The sequence below is a fragment of the Homo sapiens genome, chromosome 1 (genome assembly GCF_000001405.40).
Source record: "Homo sapiens chromosome 1, GRCh38.p14 Primary Assembly".
Taxonomy (NCBI): Eukaryota; Metazoa; Chordata; class Mammalia; order Primates; family Hominidae; genus Homo; species Homo sapiens.
This window is the reverse complement of record NC_000001.11, coordinates 230,082,569-230,107,621: the sequence shown is the minus strand read 5'-3', so window position 1 is coordinate 230,107,621 and position 25,053 is coordinate 230,082,569. Positions and strand designations below refer to the sequence as shown.

Here is a 25,053-nt window from a genome sequence, read left to right as displayed (position 1 = left end):
ACACACACACAAAGTCCATGAGAAGAAATGAGAATTTTTTTTTTTTAACATTCTTGCTCTGTCACCCAGGTTGGAGTACAGTGGCACAATCATAGCTCACTGCAGCCTCAAACTCCTAGGCTTAAGCAATGCTCCCGTCTCAGCCTCCCGAGTAGGTGGGACTACAGGTGTGTGCCACCACACTTGGCTAATTGTTGGTTTGTTCTGTTTTTGTAGAGACAGGATCTTGCTCTGTTGCCCAGGCTGGTCTCGAACTCCTGGGCTCAAGTGATCCTCCTGCCTCCTCAGCCTCCTAAAGTGCTGGAATTACAGGCATGAGCCACTGTCCCTGGCTGCGAATTCATTTTTTCCCTCAGTAGAATCCCTCCCAGTCTGTGTAAGTGGCTGATTCTCCTGCAAGGAGGAAGTCACCATCTGGATTCATCAGTCAGTGCCTGAGGCTGGCGTCCTTCCTTATCTCTGCAAGTCACCTCACTATGACATTTAAGATTGTCTATTCCAAAAGCACTCATCCTGCTGACGAGATGCAACTTCTGAAGACAGCACCTGCGGAGCGTGGAATTCCTCTGCACTGCAGTCTAGCTCTCGGAGCCAGCTTCCTTCTGTCCAGCCCCGGGACTCGGGAGTCAGATTGCCTGGATCCTCAAGGAATGCCTCCATTGCTACAAGGAGCCCATGGGCCTCTGCCTTATCACTGAAAATATGGGGGAAATAATAGTGCCCTTTTCACAGCATTGTTTAATGACACGGTGCATATAAACAGAATGAACTTAAACATTATCATCCAGGCTAAGGCACCTGTGAGCATGAAAGGGTGTATGTTCATCCCCACACTGGGCAAGACACACTCCAGCACTGCCCAAGCTCACCAGCACGCACTGCCTGCCTGCTTACTGCAGCCTTAGCACAGAGCTTAGCAAGTGTAGCTGCTTAGGGCTAATGACAGGAGAGGCCAAACAATAATATCAACAAATGCACTCTTACGAATGCCTGCCATACAGCAAATGCTCCATAATTATGCATTACTGTTCTATCATCCTGTTCCCATCTCAACCTCCAAAAGCCTTTGATGTAAAATAAAATGAACAGTCTCCACTGCCTCACAGATGGAATTAAAGCTAAATACAAAACTAGAAGCCCTAAAGTCACAACCTCAGGTGGCTGGGTTTCCGGGTCAGTGGGCCAGACCAACAGCAGTTTCAGCACACTGCCGGAACTCAGAGCCTCAGGTGTTTAGGTATTCATTCCAGGCCAGGAGGAGGCATGGCTCCTGGAAGCAGGCACTAAGCCTGTCATCTCCATTCAGTATCGTTTCTCAGATTCTCAGACTGAAATCTTTAGGCAATTGCATGCCATCCTCCATGGGCACAGTCACCCTTATACAGAGAGATCAACTTGCTGCTCAGAGATACACAGCTGATCAGGGAATACAAAACTTTGCTATCACTCCGAAGTCCAGGAAACAGAGCGGACAATGCCTGGAAATTCTGCACTGCACGGCCATGAGCAAAAAGAGTTGGCATACCCTCATGCACTGTGTCACCAAGTGGTTAATATGCAACTATTGCACAAGACCTGCTTCTAAGAAGTCAAGTCCGAAGACCGGACTAAAGAAATGAATCATCTTTACCGAATTACTACAATCACTATGGAGGCCCAGAAATGTTGAGTAAAGGTGAGTGGGAAGAGGCTGGAGAGATGAAAGTGTGCATGCTGACTGGCAGATACAGCGCTGGATCTGGCATCAGACAGGACTGGTCTGTCCCCACCACTTCCTAGTTGTCCATCTTGAACAAGTCTTTTGACTTCTCTCTGGGTGCCTGTGCCCCAGTTTGTATAATGGATATAATCATGCTTATGAGCCAACAGGACATGAACCTTGATGGAGAATGCAAACACAGGTGCTCACGTTCTCTGAAGCCCCACAGTGAGACAGCACCGACAGACGCCCTCACTTTCGAATGCTGACATTTATGCAACTCCCACCTCATCCGTGCTGACCACTGCGAGGAAGAAGGTGGGACACAGAGACTCTATGTTCCCACAGGAGCTTACACAAGAGCAACACGGTTCACTGAACCGCAGGGACCATCAACTCTAGGGAGCACCATTAATTTTGTGTGCCACTCAGGAAGAAAAACACGATCAATGAAACCCTGAAACACCATCCATGGAAGATGCATCCTGATTTCAGACATGTTAAAACATGAGAGGCGGGGGAAATGTGCATTGTAGAATCAATGATATGGTGCGACAAGAGCCCCCAGTGGGCCCCAGAGCTCGGCTCTGGTCCTGACCAAACAATGTCTAAAACCAGCTTGAGTCCACAGAGCAGTGGGTGTTCAGTTTGGCTGCTCTTCAATAACCCTGGGAACCTGTTTGCATTTCAGACTCCCTGTCCCTCCTGGAGAATGATTCAGTTGCTCTGAAAGGAGGTCTGAGCACCTCTCTAACACATCCTGTCTGTGCCAGCTGGGAAAAGGAAGGCTGGCTAAATAGCAGAATGGATCTAACAGCACAGCAGCTTCCCTTCCACACCCCCAGCCTCTGGCATCAGTACGCTCCTTACAGGAAGGGCCCCAAACAGAGCCGAAGGTGTGGTCTGAATCCACAGCGCCACTGTGGCCCTCCTGCCTACATTCCATTTCTGCTGTTTCTCTGACACTTTCCCCCACTCTGATTCATTTTCCGAGTATGCAGTTGCAAAACCTACGCTTAGAACGGGGGGACTGCAAGCGTCCTGTGTGGCATTTCCCTAAGTCAGCTGTGACTCAGCCTGGCAAGGGCCCAGGTGCCTTCAGAGTGGCTTCCTGCAAAGACCAGTAATGACGGGCCAGCCGCTGCACTCAGGCACATGAGCCAGCACCTCTGCGACTGAGATCCAGGGAAGGAACGGGATCGCCCTCCTACCTCCCAGCACTGCAAATGTCATTTACATTTTGAAGCCACTGGGGACATGGGTGGAACTCTGTGAGCTGGTGAATTACGCATTCCAGGATTTCTGAAGCCTATTAAGAAAGGAGAGCCAGGGTGGGCGGCCATCACGAAGCAGCTCCAACCACCTGTTTCCCTCCTCCCGCATTTCCCCCACCCAGCACATCACATTTATTTTATGACTCGGTGCATCCAACAAGGCACGGCTTTTAAAGCTTCCCATTTCTGATGCTACAGAGCCAGGAAACCAGGAATCAAGATTATCAGGCTAAAATACAGCCGCCTCTCTTTGAGGCCCACCAGCTGGTTCTGAGAACCTACTGCACCACCATGGAAAAGGGATTCCCTAGCCTTCTCTACCCAAATACCCCAGAAGATAAGATTTCAGCTTTTTAAGATAGTGGTTCCATTAACCTTTGGAGAAAGGAGGAGAGACCCTGTTCGGGGAGCTCTATGCCAAATAAAGACAGAGCCAACCTCCCTGCCTCCCTCGGCCCCCCACCACCCCAGAACCTACTGACCCTTGCAGAGCCAGCCTGCTGACTCCTTTGGAGAGAACCATAAGAGAAGCTTCAGGACGCTCAGGAGTTAGAGGGAAAATGAAGCCATTTACCAAACAGAAGCACATGACTGCCTCGCACTCAGTAAGCACAAGCTGAATCAATTAGTTAATTAAACCTGATACGGGGCTCTGTGGGGTTAAGATCTTACACCCTGAGTAAGGAACACTGCTGAAGAAGGAAACAGTCGCTCTGGGAGATGCTGCTACCAAAATCAGTGGAAGGTCAGGTAGGAGCAGCTCTCACGGAGTAAATGACTAGGAGAAGGGGAGGAATGAATAACAATCCATTACCTAATAAGGGGTTTGTCTAAACCAGCTAACTTGTTTCAGAATTGAGGCCAAAATCAGGGTTAGCTGCAACAGTGCCTACATGATAATTATGTGCTTTTTTTTTTTCCTTTTGGCTTTGTGTGTGTGGTTTTGGAGGGATGGGTTCTTTCATTTTCTGTTTTTGTGTGCCACCTACTTGTCTCCTTAGAACCACAGACAAAATCCTGCAAGAATCTCTTTCCTGGGAGCAGAACTCATGCCCTGGTGAGCCCCACAGACACAGACTGCCTCTGCAGCCTGGTGGCATCTGCCCCAGAACCAACCAGAAAAAAAGGTGACTTACATTTCTTTCCAACCACCAAGGCTGAAGATGGAAATCTGTTCACAGTTGCAGATGTTGGCTGGGGAGAAAAGGGGGGCTGCTGCAGGAAGGCATCTGGGTGCTCAACACTGTGGCTAATTATTGCTGAATAAAAAATAATCATCTTTGCATGACTGTAGCAAGGTTGCTCATGGATACAAAGTATATTAAGGTGAAGACAGTAAACACCACACTAAAGGTCTCATGATGTGCAAACTGAGATTCCATGAACGTTACTAAAATCTATTACGGGGATTTTGGACTGACTCCTTGAAATCCAGGGAACAATTATTAAAACATGAAAGGACCACAACTGTCTATTTCTGCAGATAGCTCCTTCTAGCAACTGTTTTCCTGGACTGCCTCACCTAGGAGGTAACAGAGGCTCTTTACAATTCCTCCAAATGCAAATTTGATAGAGTTATAGGAGTCTCTTACTGCACAGTGCTGTGTTCTAAACACGATCTCAGCAAGGCCAATGGACCTCGGGCTTAACCTCAATATGAGCCTCAGTGAGTAAAATGTCACTACTGGTCACATGCAGAGTCATCAAACAACACTCTCGTCCATGCTACCTTCTGAGTATTCTCCAGTCTTCACCCATGGCCCCGCCTCTCCACTGCCCCTGCAAAGAAAAAGTCCTCCATCCTTGCCCTGCCACAACTACTGGACATCTTCAACCTTTCCACCACCCAAGACTCTGTTATTTACCCCACAGAATCTGTTTCCATCAATGGCTATGAAAAAACAGAGAGTGATTTAATCTGTTCGCTTTTTTTTTAAGGCCATCAACTGTCCTGAGTCATCACACTAAGTGTCTGTCATTCTAATTGGATGCAGAGGTGTTTTTACAATAAGCCTGGGCAGCTTTATGTCAAATCAATGAACAATTTCCAACCACCATTTGTAAACAATAATAAATCAAGGACTCTCGAAACGGAACCCCCAAGGTATAAACGTTCCCCTACAGAAGCCCATCTGCTGCAAGCTCTTCCAGAAAATAAACCTGGAATTCTAAAACCTAAAAAAGGAAATGATCCATTTGGGCTTACAATTTCAGAGACACAACTTCACTCTTGAAGACCAAAATTGCCACGTTTATTTTGATGCTGCCATTGCTGTCTCAAGCAGAAGCTCCCCTTATGTTGCTCTATTCCTGATTCACAGAATGAAAAACTGTACATTAGGCCAAGGGTTACTGAGCGCTCAGCATGCCGGGCCCTCGCAAGGCACTGGAGACTGCAGTGAACAAGACATACCTGCCCTCCTGGGGCTTCGTCTAAGCTCCCCTTTTCTGACTTTGAAAGGAAGCTTGTTTTTCAGGAGGGAAAAATCTTCTTCCAAGAGAACAGGCAAAGTTTTGAGCTTTGCATGCCCTTAAAACTTACTAGCACCTAAAATTAGCTTCTCTGATAGATGTGTCTTTGCACTTTACACAATGCAGAAGGCTCCCCAAGAAGGGCAAATTGTGCCCGCATCAACCAGTAAAACCATTCGGAAAACAAAGAGGAGAGCTAATTTTAGGAAGCAGCATTTTCAGTCCAACTACTTTTTGTGCTTCTGTCTGGCAAAGGGACAGAATAGAAGATAAGGAAACTGCCCCCACTAAATCTCTCCTACGGACTGTCCTTACTACACATCAATCCTCTCCCAGGCCAATTGCTCCAAATTACCAGAGGAGGAGGCCATCTTATACGTTTCATGATGAAAGAGAGGGCAATTCTCAGGAGGAACAAGAATAATTATACACAACAAAAGCAGGAACAGTAATCTGTCATAGATTTACAGAACACACAGTTCCACTTAAGATACATTTTTCCTCCATCACTCTTATGTTGTTTATTAAACATTTACTTTTGGCCCAGAGTTTGGCTGATCAGGACCTGAAAAGTTGTTAAAACACCACTGGGACTGTGTCAAGAATCTTTTAAATCATCTAAAAAAGGTATTTGTTTATCTGTCTTGACAAACTGAGAATGTACTCAGCAGGCTTAAGAATTTCAGTTCAACAAACACACCTTGGCACCTGAGGTGCTCAGGGGTGGGAAAACTGAGTGTGAAGAGACGGGCACACGAGTGACCAGAACACGGGGGCATCCGACAGGAGCTGGGCATAAGCTCCAGAGGCCCTGTCCCCTTGAAGGAAGAAAAGGACTGGCGGTGGGAGAAGATGCTTGTTTAACATTTATGGAAAAAGCCAGAATTACAATGAGGCACCCTTGCCATATGACACATTTAGGAGTATGTAGAATACACGCATCTATACAGGCATACACATATGTGTATGTGTATATCCAGTCATGCATCACTTAACAATGGAGATCTGGTCTAAGAAATGCATCATTATGCTATTTCTTGCTCGTGTGATCAGAGTGTACTTACACAAAACTAAATGGTACAGCCTTCTCCACACCTAGGCTAGATGGTACAGCCTACTGCTTCTAGGCTACAAACCTGTATAGCATGTGACTGTCCTGAATACTGTAGGTAACACAATGGTATTTGTTATCTAAAATAGAAAAGATACAGTAAAAATACAAGATTATAATCTTACGGGACCACTGTGATATATGCAGTCTACTGTTAACTGAAACGTCCTTATGACTGTATACGCATGTGTACATGTATATTTCCCATACACTTCCTAAATGTGTACTTTTGTTTATATGTACATGTACACATGCATATACACTTATATGTACATATACACACATCGACTTTGGAGTGAAGCAGCCCCGCATTTTCACTGCACTTCTCAAACTTAAAGCCTTTGTGATCTTGAGCAAGTTATTCGGTTCCCTGTGCCTACACATTTACAAAATCAGGTGAACACTACATACGCCTCACAGGATTATTTTAAGAATAAAAACGCCGGGTGCTGTGGCTCACGCCTGTAATCCCAGCACTTTGGGAGGCCGAGGCGGGCAGATCGCCTGAGGTGGCGAGTTCGAGACCAGCCTGACTAGCATGGTGAAACCCTGTCTCTACTAAAAATACAAAAATTAGCCGGGTGTGGTGGCAGGTGCCTGTAATCCCAGCTACTCGGGAAGCTGAGGCAGGAGAATCACTTGAACCCGGAGGCGGAGTTTGCAGTGAGCCGAGGTCGCGCCATTGCACTCCAGCCTGGGAGCCTGGGCAACAGAGCGAGACTCCATCTCAAAAAAAAAAAAAAAAAAAAAAAAAAGGAATAAAAAGATACCCTGGGCATCCCCCATCCTGCACATTACCAGGCAAAGAGCTGGTGCAGAACTGAGTGTCACCAATGTCCTATGGAGCCATTTGAGAAATATTAGCTCTATTTTAAAATTTAGAAAACATAGAGTGTTTAAGCAAGCTACCTGGAGTCACAGCAAATTAAAACCACTTCCAGGACTTGATCCCTTCATTTTTTAAACCATTCATTCAACGATCTATGGAACTCCTAGTCTGCACCACAGACTGTGTGAGAAGCTGGGAATATATCCTCAGATCAACACTGGCCCTTGCCCTAAAGGAGCCTAGGTCTTGGTTGGGAATAAAAAATGTCATTAACTATTCACAGGTGCTGTGCCCGCAACACCAAGCCCCAGATAAAACAGTTCCTTAGAGTCAGGAGGTCTCATAATCCTATAATGGAAACAAATTGGAAAGGAGGCTGTGGCACACTGCAGACATGGGGACAAGACTGGCCCTTCCTACAGGCATCAAGCCCACAGGAAGGACTGAGCCCTTTTGGGTTCAGCCAAGCTATCTGCAGAGACAGATGAGCCACTGGGCATGCCTGGTGGGCAGCACACCACTAGGAAGAAGGCAGACACCTCCCTTCCAGGAACCAAAGCCAAAATATGGCTAAATGGGCCACAGCAAACCTTCTGAGGGAACGCACCATTGCTAAAAGGCTTGTACTGACTTGGCCATGGCAATGGAGCATATGCTACCCTCAAACCAGGCTTCCCAGCTGGCATTTCTTGGGAATCACAGCTTGGGACAGGTGGAGAGCTTTGCTGAGGAGAGAAAACTCTCCAGGCAAAGCTATAGTGCTGTATGGTCTTGGTGGATTCATGAAACACCATTGGTGTATTCACATTTTTGAGAAACTTGCAGCAGAGAGTGTATTCAACTATGCTTACCCCCAGATTCCCCAAGACATCTGACCATGGCATGCTACTAACATCAGACACCCCCATCCCGGGACTCGGAAACTCTGGAATTGCAATCATAGAAATAGTGCAGCAGCCTGTGTAAGCAAATGGGTTTGACAAAAGGGACCAAATGGTGCCCTTAAGGAAAGCAAACCTGGGCAAGGCCATGACAATGCTTCAGGCCAACAGCAGGCACAGAGCACATGGAGCGTGATACCTACTTTGCAAAGCTGCTAACGTAGCAATGACTGGTGTAACAGAGGAGACTAGGGAGGGCCAACTCCTCAAGGAAGAACTTGAAAGTCCTTGGCTACATGAAGCTGACAGAACTCTGATCTCATCCTCTCATGTCGTGATTCCGCGCGATCGGGAACATCTAAAGGGGGGCACGTGACCAGCCCGCTCAATGCACAGCTCAACCTACATGTCACTTCCACTAGAATTTCTTGTCAATCACCCAGATTCATATAGGAATGAATTCCCCAGTGCCTCATAACACATCATGGTCAACTCCTGGCATACAGTCAGTGCTTGTGGAGGCTAAAGCAACTCCATCTTGGATGCTAATCTGCCACGTTGGCTTCTGATTAACCCCCTATCCAAGAAGGCCTCTAAGACTTCCCATTTATCTACTATTCCTGTGTAAGAGCAGGTGCTTACAGTAAATCCTGCCCTCAGATCAAACAACCTTGATGTTATCTTACTTCAATTGTCCTACGTATCCCTTTGGAACCACTCCTCCCTCCCCGCTATGGCATAGAAGCCCTGGGTCTGGGGGGTAATGGCGTGGGGCTCCCCCATCTCGTCTTACCGCTGCCCTAGACACAGATGCGGCTTCTGCTTGTAGGTCTCTATTAAATGTTTCTTTCTAAGAAACGGGATTTGTCAGGCTCTTCCTTCAGCCTCTCAGCTTCCTCGGACTTTGGGGTAGTTTGCATAGACCTGCCTTTCGCAAAACAGTGTTCAATATGTACATTCTGGAAATGGATATAGCAAATCTCTGCACTACACAATTCACATGCATGCATTCTAAAAAGAATGCTATCCCACAGTATAGAGCTCACACTACATACAAACAGAGTTGACCAAAAGGAGAAAAGAGAGAGAAAAGAGAAAGTCACTCCTGTTAGGGTGCCAGCATTCCACAGGAGTACAATGTTTCCTTCCACATTCATTCTAGAGAACCCACATGTTATTTAAGTATGTCTTCAAACCTCATAAACCCCATGAATGACCCCACATAATTCAAACCTGGGCTAAAAAGAGTGAGTGTAAAGTGCTTGAAGTTTCTGGAAGAACTAAGTTATGCCAAATCTCTACTTTAAATGTCTACCTACCCAGAATACAAGCAAGAAAGTTCAGAATGTATTCTGGTTCTATCGACAAACATTTACATTCTCTCTTTACAAAGGACATTCATACGTATTAACTCATTTTGATCCCTGAAACTAAAGCAGAAATAGCAGCATTATCTGTTGTATAGCGACCAAACCTAAAGACAGAATTTGTAAGTTGTCCCAAATTGCCAAGCAATTAAAAATATAATGTACATTTGGTGCGTGTTACCATAATTCTCCACTATTAAACGGTATTTAAAATTTTCCTGAGATATCAAGAATAAATGAAATTATGATGTGTCATTTGAATGTTAAAATGTGAGGAACAGCATTACTAGTCATGATATCCAGAAAGCGGAAACAACCCAAAAGTCAGCTGACAGATAAATGGATATACAAAATGTGCACATGTACATATTACTCAGCCTCCAAAATGGAATATTACTCAGCCTTCAAAAGGCAATTCCGACACACGCTCTAACAGGGATGAATCTTGAGGACATTATGTTAAGTGAAATGAGCCAGTCACAAAAGGACAAATACTGTATGATTCCACTAATAGAAGTATCTAGAGTAGTCAGATTCGGAGACAGAAAGTAGAATGGTGGTTGCCAGGAGCTGGGAGAGTGGGGAGTGGGAGTTGTGTTTAATGGGCACAGAGTCTCAGTTCTGCAAGTTGAAAGAGCTCCGTGGATGTACGGTGGACATGGCTGCACAATAATATGAATGTACTTAATACCACTTACCTGTACACTTAAAAATGGTTAAGTTGATAAATTAAAGATCATGAAAAAAATAAGGAAATATATTTGGCTCATTAAAAACTGGGAACCTCAGTATGATAAATATTCTATCTCCTGAGCAAACCGCTCAGTGTTTTAACAATCTGGATTGACAGTTTTATTAAAGGGTTTGGCGTGTAATGTTATGAGGGCACCGATGATACTGGGCCTGAATTCTGAAATGTCAAGCGACATTTCTCTTTTTTGTCACCGTGCACCCCCTCTTCACAGTTGTAGCTTTGGACAGTAACTTAGTATGATCCTGATGTTCTCCCAACAAATTTAATAAGGAGAGGGAATCATTGTGTTTGCTTCTAAACAAACCATTCAGACAGAAATGAAGGAATTACTCATTCTGCAGAATCTATTTACCATCTGTTGCTGAAGGGAAGTCTTTACTGAATGAGAGGCTGGGTTGGAGGACCTCTGAGTGAATTAAACCCTAAAAGAAAATGCACCTTCTAAGTTTCAAGTCACTTTGATTCTATGATTGTATGTATAATTCAGACCAAACTAATTCTATCTTTGAGAAGAGATACATAAAAGAATATTAAGAAGGTGCAACATTGGTGGTAGTTCCCAACCTGCTGCCCCCAGGCTGCCAAGGATGGGAGCAGGGAGGGAGGTTGGAAGAAATTAATTATGAATTGAGAAAGACTGATGGATTAACAACAAAAAAAAACTTTCAAACAGGATGATGGTGATGAAACACAAACCTTAAAGAAATCCTGGTGGGACAGAAAGAAGGGAGAGAGGGGAAAGGGGAAGGAAGGCGGGAGGGGAGAACGAGATGGACGAGGGAGACGCAGACACCTCTGGCCTCCTGCCCTCAGCCAGCATGCTCTAACCATGCCACCCCCATGACTCCCTTTGACGAGATATGCATATTAACATATATCACATTTAAATCACGTAAGCAAATGACTAAGCTGCAGTGATAAAGAATGCTTTAGTTGTAATTACCACAGATAAGCACATAATTAATATCTTTGGTTCAGTAACTAGAATCGTCTTAAAAGGAAAAATTGTCCACCATGGCTCAACCTCAGCTGGCAGGTGCTAGCAAGAGGACACCAAAATGCAGGCTGAGGTATGCGTCCTCTCAAAATCAAAAGGGCCCCCAGGTGAGCCTGGCCCGGCTGGGTTAGAAAAGTCCCTGCAGCAGGGCAAATCCCTGGCCCAGCAAATGGCTCACTCCCAGCAGCCAGGCCCACAGCCCTGGGTTCATGGGAAGCAGGAGTTCCGGGTGCCATTCCTGCACAAAAGCCCTCCCAAAACGTCATGGCTTAAACAAGTTCTTATGTCCCATGGTGAGACCACAGGTGCCTCGCGGCTGGGGCTCTCTCACCTGTCTGAGGCCTTGGCCTCTCCCTCCCTCCCCTCCAACATGTCTCACCCTCCAGGCAACCCCACACGGTTTCTTTCTCCAGCAGAGCAGCCTGGACGTCTTCTAGCATGGCAGTTGGGCCCCAGGGGACCCAGGTGGGGCTACCAGGCCCCTCAAGGACAGAGCCTGCACCACGCCCAGTGTCACATCCACAGCAGTCTACTGGTTCAAGTTTGACACCAGACTGACCAGATTCACGAGGCAGGGAGGTGAGAAGTACATGCCCTTGGCTGGAGACTGTCTACCACCACAGGACACTGGAGTCACCAACCCCTCTACAGCCAGCCAACCCAGAAAGACGTTCCACTTCGGAACTCTTCAAACCTCATCTGGAGAGTGGATCCCAATACTGGGGCTCGTCACAGAGCAGCACACTGGGATGCTAAGAGCAGGCCTGGCTGAGGAGCCCGCAGGGGTGGGTCTGAATTCCCACTTCACCACTTCTACATGTGAGACTGCCGGCAACTCAACCTCTCTCCCTGACAGCTTCATCTGTAAAATGGGGATAATAAAAACGCCTCATGGAGTTTCTATAACGGATAGGTGAATTCACCCATAAAAGTGCGTGAAAGCAGGGGGTACATGGTCAGCATGTGGGGTTACTATTTTTACTCTGCTAGATGGGTCACCCTGAAGTCCACCCAAGCCACAGAAAGGACAGTGTCACAGCCCCGCGGGTCTGCTGCCACTGCCCACATTCTGCACTAGCTCTCCCTGCTTGTTGGGGTCAGGGTCGACACTCTCCCTGATTGCAGCTACTCTGTCTTAACCAACACAACCAGAGACAGAAAGGAACCGTATGAGGACCAGCAGACTCGGAGCAGAAGGGCCAGTTTGTAACAGCAGTGACAGTCCTGTGACCGTGAACTACGACATCATCGCGGCCCGTGCTTAGAGGTCCACTTGCATCATCTCCAATTAATCCTCACCCTCAGTAGGAGCTACGGCACATCTAACACAGGGAAGGCGAGGTATCGGAATCCGCTTCCTGTCTCTACGTGGGGAGATCATCCTCTTTGCAGACGTGTGGGAAGGATTAGGCAAAACAACACACAAGGGACCTAAGAAGATTCAAGGTAAGTGCCCCCACAACCTCTCTGTTTTCTCCCTTCCCCAAACTGTCTGGCTCTGTTTCTCTTGTAATAGTTTTAATTCTACTACATACACCCTTTTTTAATATCAGCTGTCCAGATGTGTTGGGAAAGCATATGGTGTTTTTGTTTTTGTTTGAGACGGAGTTTCATTCTTGTTGCCCAGGCTGGAGTGCAGTGATGCAGTCTCAGCTCACTGCAACCTCCGCCTCCCGGGTTCAAGTGATTCTCCTGCCTCAGCCTCCCAAGTAGCTGGGATTACAGGTGCCTGCTACCACGCCTGGCTAATTTTTTTGTATTTTTAGTAGAGAGGGGGGTTTCACTATGTTGGCCAGGCTGGTCTCAAACTCCTGAGCTCAGGTAATCCACCCGCCTCCCACCCGCCTCGACCTCCCAAAGTGCTGGGATTACAGGCATGAGCTGCCACCCCGGCCGAAAGCATATGTTCTTAAATATATAAAAATAAGGCCAGGCATGGTGGCTCATGCCTGTAATCCCAGCATTTTAAGAGGCCAAGGTGGGAGGATCACTTGAAGCCAGGAGTTTGACACCACCCTGAGCAACATAGCAAAACCCAATCTCTACCAAAAAAAAAAAAAAAAAAAAAAAAAAATTAGCCAGCATGGTGGCACACACCTGTATTCTTAGCTACTCAGGATGCTGAGGCAGGAGGATTGCTTGAGCCCAGGAGATCGAGGTTGCAGTGATGTTTGTGCCACTGCATTCCAGCCTGGGCAACAGAGCGAGACCCTATCTCAAACACACACACACAGGTGGACGAAACAGTATTATTACCCTCATTTAAGAAGGGATGAAGCTAAGGCTTAGAGAGATTAAGTACTGTCATGTGTTGCTTAATGACAGGGATACCTTCTGAGAAATGTGCCCTTAGGTGATTTCATTATTGTGGCAACATGATAGCATGCACTTACACAAAACGAGGTGGTATAGCCTACTACACACCTAGGCTGCAAACCTGGACTGCTTGTTACTGTACTGAATACTGTATGCAACTATAACATAATAGTATTTGTGTATCTAAACACAGAGGTACAGTAAAAATACAGTATATAATCTTATGAGACCACCATTGGGTATTCGATCTGTCATTGGCTAAAATGTCATCATGCTGAGCTTGACCGTACCTTGCCCACATGTGCAAGGCCAGTAAACGGCCCAGGGTGGATTCACAGCACTTATGAAAACCTTCCCCGTAACAACCACTCTGTGCTGCCTCCCAGGAGTGAAGCAGCAGGAAGCCCAGGGAACACAGCCCGCAGCCGATCTAGTTTTACCCTTGGCCAGGTCAGGACTGCAGAAAGCTAGCTACAGTCCATCGTTTTCTCCTAGAATTGCCTTTACACAACTGTGATCTAATGCTCCTCCTTCTGCTTCAGGTTTGATTTAAATAAACGGCCACGTGTGCATCTCTGCTTTTGGTTTCTGTTATTTCTCCCCCTGACGGACACTATTATCATGTTCAGTGCCCTTTAAGTTAATATCCACTAGATTCTTATCAAGCTTGAAGGCTAAGAAAATGTTTCTCTCTCTCAAGAAAATGTTTCATTGTATTATCAAATGAGAACTATGCAACCCAACATGCTTCCTTTCTTGCTTTGGCTACCAAGATACAATTGCACGTTCAACTGAAGGAGCTCCCCTTGGCTTAGTGTCAGTAGACGTAAGCTGAAATGTATAGGGGGACTAGAGCACAATCGGCCAGCACTTTGGGTTTCAGGTTCTTGACCTATAGATGGGGGTAACATACCTGCCACGCAGGATTATGCTGAGCATTAAACTAAACACAGATGGCAAACACCTAGCCAGGATCCGGCTCCATGGGGGTGGGTGTTCAGTGTTAATTCTCCTTCATTCTTTAATTCTCCATCCACTTCTTTTTTCCTTCACCTTTTTATCCCTCATCCCCTCTACCCCCTAAATTTGACCCCAGATTTTTAAACTCTTATTTTAATGAATCTGTGCTTACACATAATATACTTTCTCTTATAAGCGGCCTCGAATCTTTTTAGAGATATATGTTGCTTAAACACGTAATAGCCATGCTCTACAAGTTAAAGGAATACTGAATAATGGACACAGAATTTAGAGATAAGGTTTAGAAATGTCACCCTTGGCCAGGTGCGGTGGCTCACACCTGTAATCCCAGCACTTTGGGAGGCCGAGGCAGGCAGATCACCTGAGGTCAGGAGTTCGAGATCAGCCTGGCCAACATGGTGAAACCCCATCTCTACTAAAAATACAAAAACTAGCCAGGCTTGGTGGCGCGTGCCTGTAATCCCAGCTACTTAGGAGGCTGAGGCAGAAGAATCATTTGAACCCGGGAGGCAGAGGTTGCAGTGAGGTCATGCAAGACCCCAGCTCAAAAAAAAAAACCAAAAACAAAAGAATTGTCACCCTCTACTATAAAGCCAAAAGAGCCAACAAAATGAATGACATTAGCCATCTGTGGTGATCTTTCCAGGAAAGAACTCAAGTCTGATGATTTAGAAAGTAGCTAATGAGAGGAGTTATGTCTCAAATTACATAGACGAGCCTAACGAAAATCAGAAAGATCAGTGCAAAAAAAAAAAAAAAAAAAACTAAAGGAATATAAGGTGAACTGTAATCCAATTAAATATAATACGTCTATCTCATGAAATCATTTTGCTGACTGATTACTAAAGAATGTTGAAAGTCAGATGTATTAGTCAGGATCCAATTAGAACGCAGAAACTACATAAGCTTTTTGAACAGAAGGGCTTTAATATAAATTGTTAACTGGGTAGAAAGTCAGTAACCAGGTAACTGGGTAGAAAAAGGAAAATTCTAGATATCAGGGAAGTAGCAACGACAGGAAGCAGCCACCACCCCTAGGCCTGAGGGAACCGGTTAGACTTAACCTTAGAAGCGTAGCCAAAGGGCCCTGAGGTAGAGACTTCCTTGGAGGAGTGGTGGGATCTGCAGGGAGTGTGGACGATGAGGCTGGCTGGCCAGTGCTGGGATAACTGAAGACTGAATTCAACAGCTACAGCTGGGGCAACAGGAAGCCAACAGGAAGGACCAAAGCCCCATCTTGCTGGTGCTTCTACCGCCTCCTGCTGATGGAGGTGGCCCGGAAGCCACTGGCAAAGCAGCTGGGATGTGCGGTCCTAGCTCCAACACTGCAGAACAGAGCACAGAGTCTGGAGCTGAAACAATAATTTCATAAATTACATGTTGGGATTTTTGAAAAATCAATCTCCATCACTACCCTAAGGAGAGGGTATTGATTCTATACACAGAAAGATCCCCAGAACGAGAAGGCCGATGCATCAAGATTCCTCAGACAGATGGAAATAGGCCAATAGAAAAGGTGGCCGATAGAAAATAGATAGAAATAGGCCGATAGAAAAGGTTTGCTGAGGACCGGGCACAATGGCTCACACCTGTAATCCCAGCACTTTGGGAGGCCAAGGTGGCCGTATCACAAGGTCAGGAGATCAAGACCATCCTGGCCAACACGGTGAAACCCTGTCTCTACTAAAAAAAAAAAAAATACAAAAAATTAGTATGTGGTGACACACACCTGTAATCCCAGCTACTTGGGAGGCTGAGGCAGGAGAATAGATTGAACCCAGGAGGCGGAGGCTGCAGTGAGCTGAGATCGTGCCACTGTACTCCAGCCTGGGCAACAGAGATTCCGTCTCAAAAAAAAAAAGAAAGAAAGAAACAAACAAAAGAAAAGGTCTGCGGAGTACACACACCCCAGGAGTGCTGGCTTTCTCAGCGAGGCACAGTTCTCATCAATTAATGAACTGTCATTCTTAGCAGTATCTTACAATTCTGATGCATGTAAACCCCAATCCCCCATTGATAACTCCTAGATGGAACTAATAACATTGAGTTTCCAAACCTATAAAACCAAGAGTGATGCCTTAGACCCATGATCATTCTCTCTCTCAAAGCTAAGTCTGAGATAGCCCAAGGGTCTCTCTCTTACTTTAACTCATATTTAATTACCTGTGATTTACACACTAGAAAATAAGATCTTTTGAAGAAAATAATAAGCTTCAACTATTTCTGCAAACGTGTTACACATACACAACCGCACAGAAAAACACAGATAGAAACCTTCAACTTCTTCCTGGATCAACTTACCACATTCCTAAGTTCTGACCAGCTTATTTGCCAACAGAAAATTCGAGTCCAGGAACTTTGGGAACCTCAGAAGCACCAGCCCTCCCCACCCCTCCTTCCCTTCCCATTCTTCACCTCCACACACACAACCGTTATTTCTCCTAAGAGTTAACTACAGAGACAGCAGGACACCAGTTCTGGTAGCAGGTCCACCACCTTCACACGGCATTTGCAGAGGCTGTGGAGGGGCAGCAGGCTCTGCTGTGTGCAATGCTTCATATCACCCACCCACCCCACTTCAGACTGGAAGACACGGTTATGTTTATTTTCCCCCAGAAGATAAGTGACTCACAGGCAGTTTGACAACAAATGTCAAGGTCCTTCAACCACAGAAAGTTCCCAGCATTTCCAATCAGTTGGGACATAATCCAGAAGAGGTTGCCTGGGATTATTTTTCCTTGGAAATTACATTCATTCTATCTTGGTGACAGACACCCACATATGGGGTCAAACTTTCCCTCATCCAAAAAAAAGATGATAATCAAAATCACAAGATACCACTTCATATCCATTAGGATGGCTACTATCAAACAACAGAAAATAACAAGTATTGGTGAGGATGTGGAGAAACTGGAACCCTTGTGTACAGTTGGTGGGAATGTAAAATTGGTGTAGTCACTGTGGAAAGCAGTATGGAGGTTCCTCAGTATATTAAAAAACAGAACTCCCATATGATCCAGCAGTTCCACCAGGTGTACTCCCAAAAGAATGAAAAGCAGGGTCTCGAAGGGAAATGTGCACACCTGTGTTCACAGTAGGATGAATAGCAAATGTGTTGCACGTGTTAGCAGCGTAATGTATAAACACAACGTTGTATGTCCATAGAATGAACTATTACCCAGCTTTAAAAAGAAAGGAAATCCTGTCACATGCTACATGGATAAACCTTGTAGGTATTATGCTAAGTGAAATAAGCCAATTCAAAAGGATAAATACTGAATGACTCCACTTACATGAGCTACCTAGAAGAGTCAAATTCACAGAGACAGAAGGTAGAACCCTGGCCGCCAGTGGCTGCAGGGAGGGAGAATGGAGAGTTACTGTTTTTTGGGTACAGAGTATCAGTTTTGCTAGATGAAAAGAGTTCTAAAGACGGATGGTGGTAACAATGTGAACACAATGTCACTGAACTGTTCACTTAGAAATGGTTATGGGCACTGCGGCTCACACCTGTAATCCCAGCACTTTGGGAGGCCGAGGTGGGCACATCACTTGAGGTCAAGACCAGCCTGGCCAACATGGCGAAACCCCATCTCCACTAAAAACACACACACACACACGCAAAAAACAGCCGGGCATGGTGGTGTGCACCTGTAGTCCCAGCTACTCAGGAGGCTAAGGCAGAAGAATCGCTTGAACCCGGGAGGCGGAGGTTGCTGTGAGGCGAGATCACACCATTGCACTCCATCCTGGGCCACAGAGCGACTCCATCTCAAAAAAAAAAAAAAAGAAAGAAAGAAATGGTTAAAATGGTCAGTTTTGTTATATGTATTTTACCATAATAAAAACTGTCGGGGGGGAAAGTTGATACATGCCACTACCTGAATGAACCTCAAAAACTATGGCAAGTGGAAGAACTCAGACACTAAAGGACACACAGTGCTTGAGTCAATTTATACGAAATATCTAGAATGGATAAATCCACAGACGCAGAAAGTACACTAGTGGTTGCCAGGGACTGGGGAGATGAGGAAATGGGGAACAACTGCTTAATGGGCATAGGGTTTCCATTTGGATGAAAATGTTTTAAAACTAGACAGAAGTGGCCGGGCGCGGTGGCTCACACCTGTAATCCCAGCACTTTGGAAGGCTGAGGCAGGTGGATCATGAGGTCAGGAGATCAAGACCAGCCTGGCCAACACAATGAAACCCCGTCTGTACTAAAACTATGAAAAATTAGCCAGGCATGGTGGCAGGCCCCTATAGTCCCAGCCACTTGGGAGGCTGAGGCAGGAGAATGGGGTGAACCTGGGTAGCGGAGCTTGCACTGAGCCGAGATAGCGCCACTGCACTCCAGCCTGGGTGACAGAGCAAGACTCTGTCTCAAAGAAAAAAAAAAAAAAACTAGACAGAAGTGGTAGCTGTACAACTGTAGTAAATGTCACTGAACTGTATACTTTACAATGGCTAATTTTATGTTACATGAATTTCACCTCAATAAAAATGAATTAAAAAAAAAACCCTGTCACACAGAACAACAGAGATGAATCTTGAAGACATCATGCTAGTGAAAACAAGCCAATCAGAAAAGGACAAATATTACAAGATTCCACTTACATGAAGCACCTAGAGGTGTCAAGTGCACAGAGGCAGAAAGCAGAATGGTGGGTGCCAGGGGCTGGTGAGAATGGGAGTTACTGTTTAATGGATACAGAGTTCCAGATCTGCAAGATGACAAAGTTTCACAACAGGACTACACTTAACACTACAAAACTGTACACTTAAAAATGGTTAAGACAGTAAACTTTATGTTACATGGTTTTTACCCCAAAAATTGTTAAATAAAGCAAAAACATTGGGGGCGGGGGGAGATGCAAATATGGAAAAATAGAATCCAGGATTGCTCAACTACTGAATACCCCAGTCCACCCCCATATTCATTTAGCCAAGAGCCTGTAAGAAAACTTGTATTTTTCTTCTGTTCTAAACTGTCACTTAATATCTGCTGTTCATCGTTTTTATTATTCTCAGAGCTTCCAGAGTAAGTACTCATAGCTAAAAGCATCGTCCAGTAATCCAGTAGGCATTTCATTATATGCCCATCAATATTTAACTCTGAATATTAAAGCAAACACCCAAGTATTCCAAAAGAGAAGACCAAGCTCAAGCTCAGAGCCCTCAAAAAGTCCAAACAGATATTCAAGGGCTCCATGACCATCAGCAGTTACTCCCAAAAGATGGAGACTCTCAGCGACGCCTTCCTAACCAGCTGTCCCCAGACCTGACTGCGTGAGAGTCATTCACACATGGGGAGCTTTTTCTAAAACACACTTGGGCCCCACAGCCAGACATTCTGACTGAATCAGTCTAGGGTGGGTGATAGGCATCTACAGCTCAAAGTTTTCCCCAGGTGTTCCTAACGTACAGCCAGATTGAAAACCGCTGGTTAACAGTGCGGGCTGGCAGTTATGGGGGAGTAAAGGCAAGAAAGACAGATGGCAAGGAAAACCAATTAAGATGGGGGAAGTGGAGGACAGCAGAAGGATCTTAGGCTCCTGCAGTCCTTGAAATTTAATTTTACTGCAGTAATTCGAGTGCAATCAACAGGCATATTCCTTCACCCTGCACATATTTCATTTGTGAAATTCGGTAATTAGTACCGGTCATCAGATGAGGGAGCTCTTAAAATACAGAAACTAAGCATGCCCCAGCAGGCCAGGCCCCTTCCCTATGGGGAGAGTGTGCACTGGTTTGGAAAGGGCGGTGCCAGATGCTGGCTTAGAGCCCGCTGCATAAAGAAGGGGTAGAAGACAGCTCCCAGCCAGGACCTTCCCAGGTGAAATACCTCCCTCCCTGGGATGGAAGAAGACCCCTCCCACACACACTCTACTGAGCTCTTTCTCCCTACGTGCCTGGTGTGGGTTAAGTGCTCACCAGGCAACATCTTGTTGAACCCTTGTGACAGCTTCATGCAGTAAACCCTGTGATAAACTCCATCTCGTAGAGGAGTAACAGAGACATAGAAAGGTACTTGTCTAAGGGCACACAGGTAAGTGGCAGGGCTGACACCTGAGCCACTCCATGACTCCAAAGCTCAGCACTGCCCACACCAACTTTCTAGAGCACTCTTAGTGGTCCCCAATAGCACAAACAGCATGACGGACGCACCACTGAGTACAAAGGGCTGTGCCCCGAACACATGAATAACAAGTTATTAATTGCTCTAAGAGATCCAACCCAGGAGATTCAGGCTGCAGCAAAATCCTCATTTCTGCAAAAGTTATGTCCTGAGCAGGGGTGAGCCAAGGAGGAACAAAGAATGAAAAGGAAAATAAATTCCCTTAACACACGGGGGAAAAAAAAACTGCTCACTTTACAGCTGTTTTCCTCCTTTGCCAGTAAGAACATCCCCCTAAAAACTGTAAAATGGAGAAAGCATCAATCTCCAAAGAGTGAGCAATGCAGACAGTTCTCGCACAAGGGCCATCTCTTATCTTGCCCTCCCTCTATTCCCTTGACTTAGGCATTTTTCCTCACTCCAACTCCCTCCTTGCCCTACCTCACCAGATAAAGGGCCGGCAGAATGACCAGGAGGTGCTCTGCTGGGTCGTCAGGCTGAACTAACCACCTCTCAGCCCAGAGCTGAGCAACGTGCTGTATCCCTAGTCACCATCACCCACCCTTTCTAAACCCTTGCTGAAATGCCTCCAGATTCCAGCCCTCCAGGAGCTCGTATTATTCTCTACCTACAAACTCGCCAAATAATTGAGAGCAAAATTTTCTCAGTTTCACCTCTGGCACCCTAGGAATACCAAGACCTGGATTAAAATCTTGTCATTTGTTCTGTGAATTCCATGAAGGTGGACGGAAATCTCTCAGCACGTTTCTGGTGGAACCCGAGTTCGTTCCTTAACCAGGCAGGTCAGCAAGCAGTTTCCAATCACCTTAGGGGCACTGATAGAGCTGTGGACATACGGTGAGCCCACTCTTCTGGGCTCCAGGTATTGCCTCGGGTTTCCCCAACATTTCACAAACATAAATCCATCTCCGTCCCATCTGTCAAACATCCTTCACCCCCAACGTCTACACCAGAAGTCAGTGGCCTATCAAAACAGTTCTGTAAGTGGTTGGCTAAGGTATAGAGCATTAAAATAACCAGCCAGGAGGAGCTCCAGAAGATCCAAAATGCAATGAATAAGAGAACCTCAGATGCCTAATCCTGCATCTTGCCTAAACAGGTAGACTGCCCCGGACTTCAACCTAGACAATCACAAACATTACCGCCTACATTCAGAACCATTTTCCAGTGATGAACTGGATCATGCCAGACCCCTAATGAACTCCTACAGGGACGGCACCAGGTCCAAGAAGCTGAAGGAGACCCAGAGCCAGCAAATGAGACACAGGGGCTTACGAGTGGGAAACCTGTACACAGGGATGGCCCAGTGGCAGTGGACTGGGCAGGAAAACTGCAACTGCTTGAAGCCTGTGGTTTATAAATAGAGTTTCCACCTAGCATCCTCTAACAGCCTCCACGGGGCAACCTTCATTTAACCCAAAACAAAGGGCCTCGCTCATCTGTATGCCCAGTGTTCCACGGGACAGGATAGGGGCTCAGATGTTCCTCATAAACAAGGAATGAATCTCCAGGTTGGCCACTCCCGGATTCCTTAGCTCAAAACTCCAAACACACATTCAGGTGTGTCTGCCCCACAGGGTCACTGTCAGGGTATGCTTCAGTTTTGCCGTCAGGTATGTCTGCCATCCGCAGTGGTGAAAGGAGAGTTAATAATAAAAACTTTTGCTAAAGAGAGCCAGAAGAGAGGAGATTGCTTACAAACAACTGATCATTCTATTCCTCATCAGCTCTCTCCTGTACCTCAGCATCACTGCACAATCTTTCTCCACTTCTCGGAGATGAAATGGCACCTCCACCTTTAGGGCACAGGATTTAAGGGCTTAACTTACAAATACAGCTGGGGTCTGTTCAGCTGCAAGAGCAAGGCAGCATGTCTGGACGAAAAAGCAGACATTCTTGTCTCCCCTAATCCCATGTTCACCCTGCACCAGGGAGAAAAAGCCAGACTTGCACCCAGAAATGATGTCAACTCCCAAGCATGCTGCCAAACCACAGCATGTTACCAGTCAGAGACTCAGCACGCAGATCCCAGCAGAAAAGGGCAAAATGACTTGGTAGCCCATAGCTGAGTCACCCAGCAGGCAAACAGCTGAAGGAGAGTAGGAGGGAGCCAGGGGCCAGGGATGCCTTGAACCTGTGAGGCATGGTCCCCCATGTGGCAGACCCTCCACAACCCTGGCTCTCAGCCATTCTCCCCCGAGCCCACCAGTCTCAGCCTCATCTCCCTCACCTAGCAACGTCTCGGTGCTGAGCCAGACACAGGAAGTGCCAGGGCAGACAAAATCAGATCCTAAATGCTCACCATCCCCCGGCTGTCTCTCTGACCTCACGTCCCATTCACCAGCTTGCCCTCCTCCTTTGGTTGCCCAGACATGCCAAGTTCATTCTGGCCCCAGGATCTCTGCACAGGATCTTCTCCAAGCCCAGACAGCCTTCTGCCACACTGGATCATTCTGGTCAACAGGCCTCGCCCACAGGTCCCCTCCTCGGCCCTTCCTGATGAGGACTCACCTCTCATGGAGCCCCACTTCACACTCTGATATTGGCGTGACCGTCCCCCAGCCTGCCCTCCTTCCAGAATATACATCCCTGGGCCCATGTTAGCCTGGCTCCCCACTGTCTCCCTGCTGTGGGAGGGGCCAAGCCTGTGCTGGCCTCAAGACACTCACAGTCCACTGGGACGCAGGGGATCAAATTAAAAATTACACAGAGGCTCCAGGCAAATCAGGGAAATCTCGGGTGTCCAAAGTGACATACAAAGGGGGAGGGCTGCTGGAAGTGCAGACCCTCACCTTCACAGGCATGTACGCCAACATCCGGGTGCTGATGGAGATGAGCTCAGGCCTGTCCACGGCTCCAGCTCCTCCATGTGCAGCAGGCACCATTTCCTTCAGCTTGCATGCAGGTCCAAGGACACAGACAGTGGGCCCCCTCCGGCCCCCTTCTATTGGAAGGGCTAACAGAGGCCCACCAGGATTTCCAACCCTTTCTTACAGAGTTTTACTTGGTCCTGAACAATCCAGATACTCCAAGTAAAAACAGAGTAACCCCCACTGTCATTCCTCTGAAGAAACTAAATGCTCAGTGCTGACCATCTCCTTACTCTCCGGACACCGTTTAACAGCAAGGACAGCTTTCTGAAGGAAAGATCAATGCCTTAAAATGAGGATTCTAAATTTTCAAACATTTTAACATAATGCAAGCATCAGGGGGCTGCAGGTGACCTTTCAAAGTTGTTTCTCAGATCATTTCCTCTGTTCTATCAGTCTGGCTTCTTGTTCCATCATTGGGCCCCCCAGCTCCATCATCCCAGCCCCCTGCTCCATCATCCCAACTGTCTGCTCCAACATCCCAGCTCCCTGCTCCATCATCTTGGCTCCCCGCTCCATCATCCCGCTCCCTGCTCCATCATCCCACTCCCTGCTCCGTCATCCCAGCTGCCTGCTCCCTCATCCCGGCTCCCCTGCTCCATCATCCTCGCTCCCCACTCCATCATCCTGGCTGCCTGCTCCAACATCTGGGCTCCCCACTCCATCATCCTGGCTGCCTGCTCCATCATCCCAGCTCCCCGCTCCATCATCCTGGCCCCCCCGCTCCATCATCCTGGCTCCCTGCTCCATCATCCTGCTCCCCACTCTGTCATCCCAGCTGCCAGCTCCATCATCTAGGCTCCCTGCTCCATCATCCTGGCTCCCTGCTCCATCATCCCGGCTTCCCTGCTCCATCATCCCGGCTTCCCTGCTCCATCATCCCAGCTTCCCTCCTCCATCATCCCAACTGCCGTGCTCTATCATTCCAGCTCCCTGCTGTTTCATCCCAGCTGCCCTGCTCCATCATCCCAGCTGCTCTGCTCCATCATCCCAGCTCCCGGCTCCATCATCCCAGCTCCCTGTCCATCATCCTGGCTGCTTGTTCCATCATCCTGGCTCCATGCTCCATTATCCAGTCGTCCTGCTCCATCCACAGCTGTCCTTATCCTGCTCTATCATCCTGGATCCCCTATTCTCTCTGCAAGTTCCCCTGATGTATCAGCCTGGATCCCCTGCTCTATCATCCCAGCTGTCTAACTAGCACTCCAGTGCGTATGTTCCATGCATATGACTTCCTATGAGCAGGGGCAATGCCTAGGTTTCTAGGCTTTGTCCACAATTTATATGTGTGCCTCCCTCTCCTGGCAGCCACTACACTCCCTTCCCGAAATAAATAAATGATACAGAAGTGATAAAAGGTACT

The 25,053-nt window shown here is 46.8% G+C and overlaps 1 protein-coding gene across 4 annotated transcripts in view, besides 5 other annotated features; it reads right to left on the bottom strand.

Annotated features, from left to right (window-relative positions):
* Positions 1-25,053, bottom strand: part of GALNT2 (polypeptide N-acetylgalactosaminyltransferase 2) — a 224,334-nt gene that overhangs the window by 174,501 nt on the left and 24,780 nt on the right. The window contains exon 1 of one of the 4 annotated variants that reach the window (XM_017000964.3): positions 1-25,053. This exon is cut by the window's left edge and continues 5,148 nt beyond it. The exons of 2 other annotated variants lie outside the window; for them this stretch is intronic. The gene's annotated coding sequence lies outside the window, so the exon portion shown is untranslated. One more of the 4 variants, NR_120373.2, reaches the window with a different exon arrangement.
* Positions 1,867-1,936: an enhancer, noted in NCBI's record as "active region_2710". NCBI's record gives its function as "activates an Ori minimal core promoter by ATAC-STARR-seq in GM12878 lymphoblastoid cells {active_cell/tissue: GM12878}" and the evidence as "EXISTENCE:reporter gene assay evidence [ECO:0000049][PMID:35858748]".
* Positions 1,867-3,195: a biological region, named in NCBI's record as "CDK7 strongly-dependent group 2 enhancer GRCh37_chr1:230240174-230241373".
* Positions 1,903-2,624: an enhancer, noted in NCBI's record as "H3K27ac-H3K4me1 hESC enhancer chr1:230240745-230241466 (GRCh37/hg19 assembly coordinates)". NCBI's record gives its function as "activates a minimal SCP1, AML or CMV promoter by ChIP-STARR-seq in naive H9 embryonic stem cells {active_cell/tissue: H9 hESC(naive)}" and the evidence as "EXISTENCE:reporter gene assay evidence [ECO:0000049][PMID:30033119]".
* Positions 1,996-3,195: an enhancer, noted in NCBI's record as "CDK7 strongly-dependent group 2 enhancer chr1:230240174-230241373 (GRCh37/hg19 assembly coordinates)". NCBI's record gives its function as "activates an origin of replication core promoter dependent on BRD2, BRD4, P300/CBP, MED14 and CDK7 cofactors, with strong dependence on CDK7, by STARR-seq in HCT116 cells {active_cell/tissue: HCT116}" and the evidence as "EXISTENCE:reporter gene assay evidence [ECO:0000049][PMID:35650434]".
* Positions 22,818-23,359: an enhancer, noted in NCBI's record as "H3K27ac-H3K4me1 hESC enhancer chr1:230220010-230220551 (GRCh37/hg19 assembly coordinates)". NCBI's record gives its function as "activates a minimal SCP1, AML or CMV promoter by ChIP-STARR-seq in naive H9 embryonic stem cells {active_cell/tissue: H9 hESC(naive)}" and the evidence as "EXISTENCE:reporter gene assay evidence [ECO:0000049][PMID:30033119]".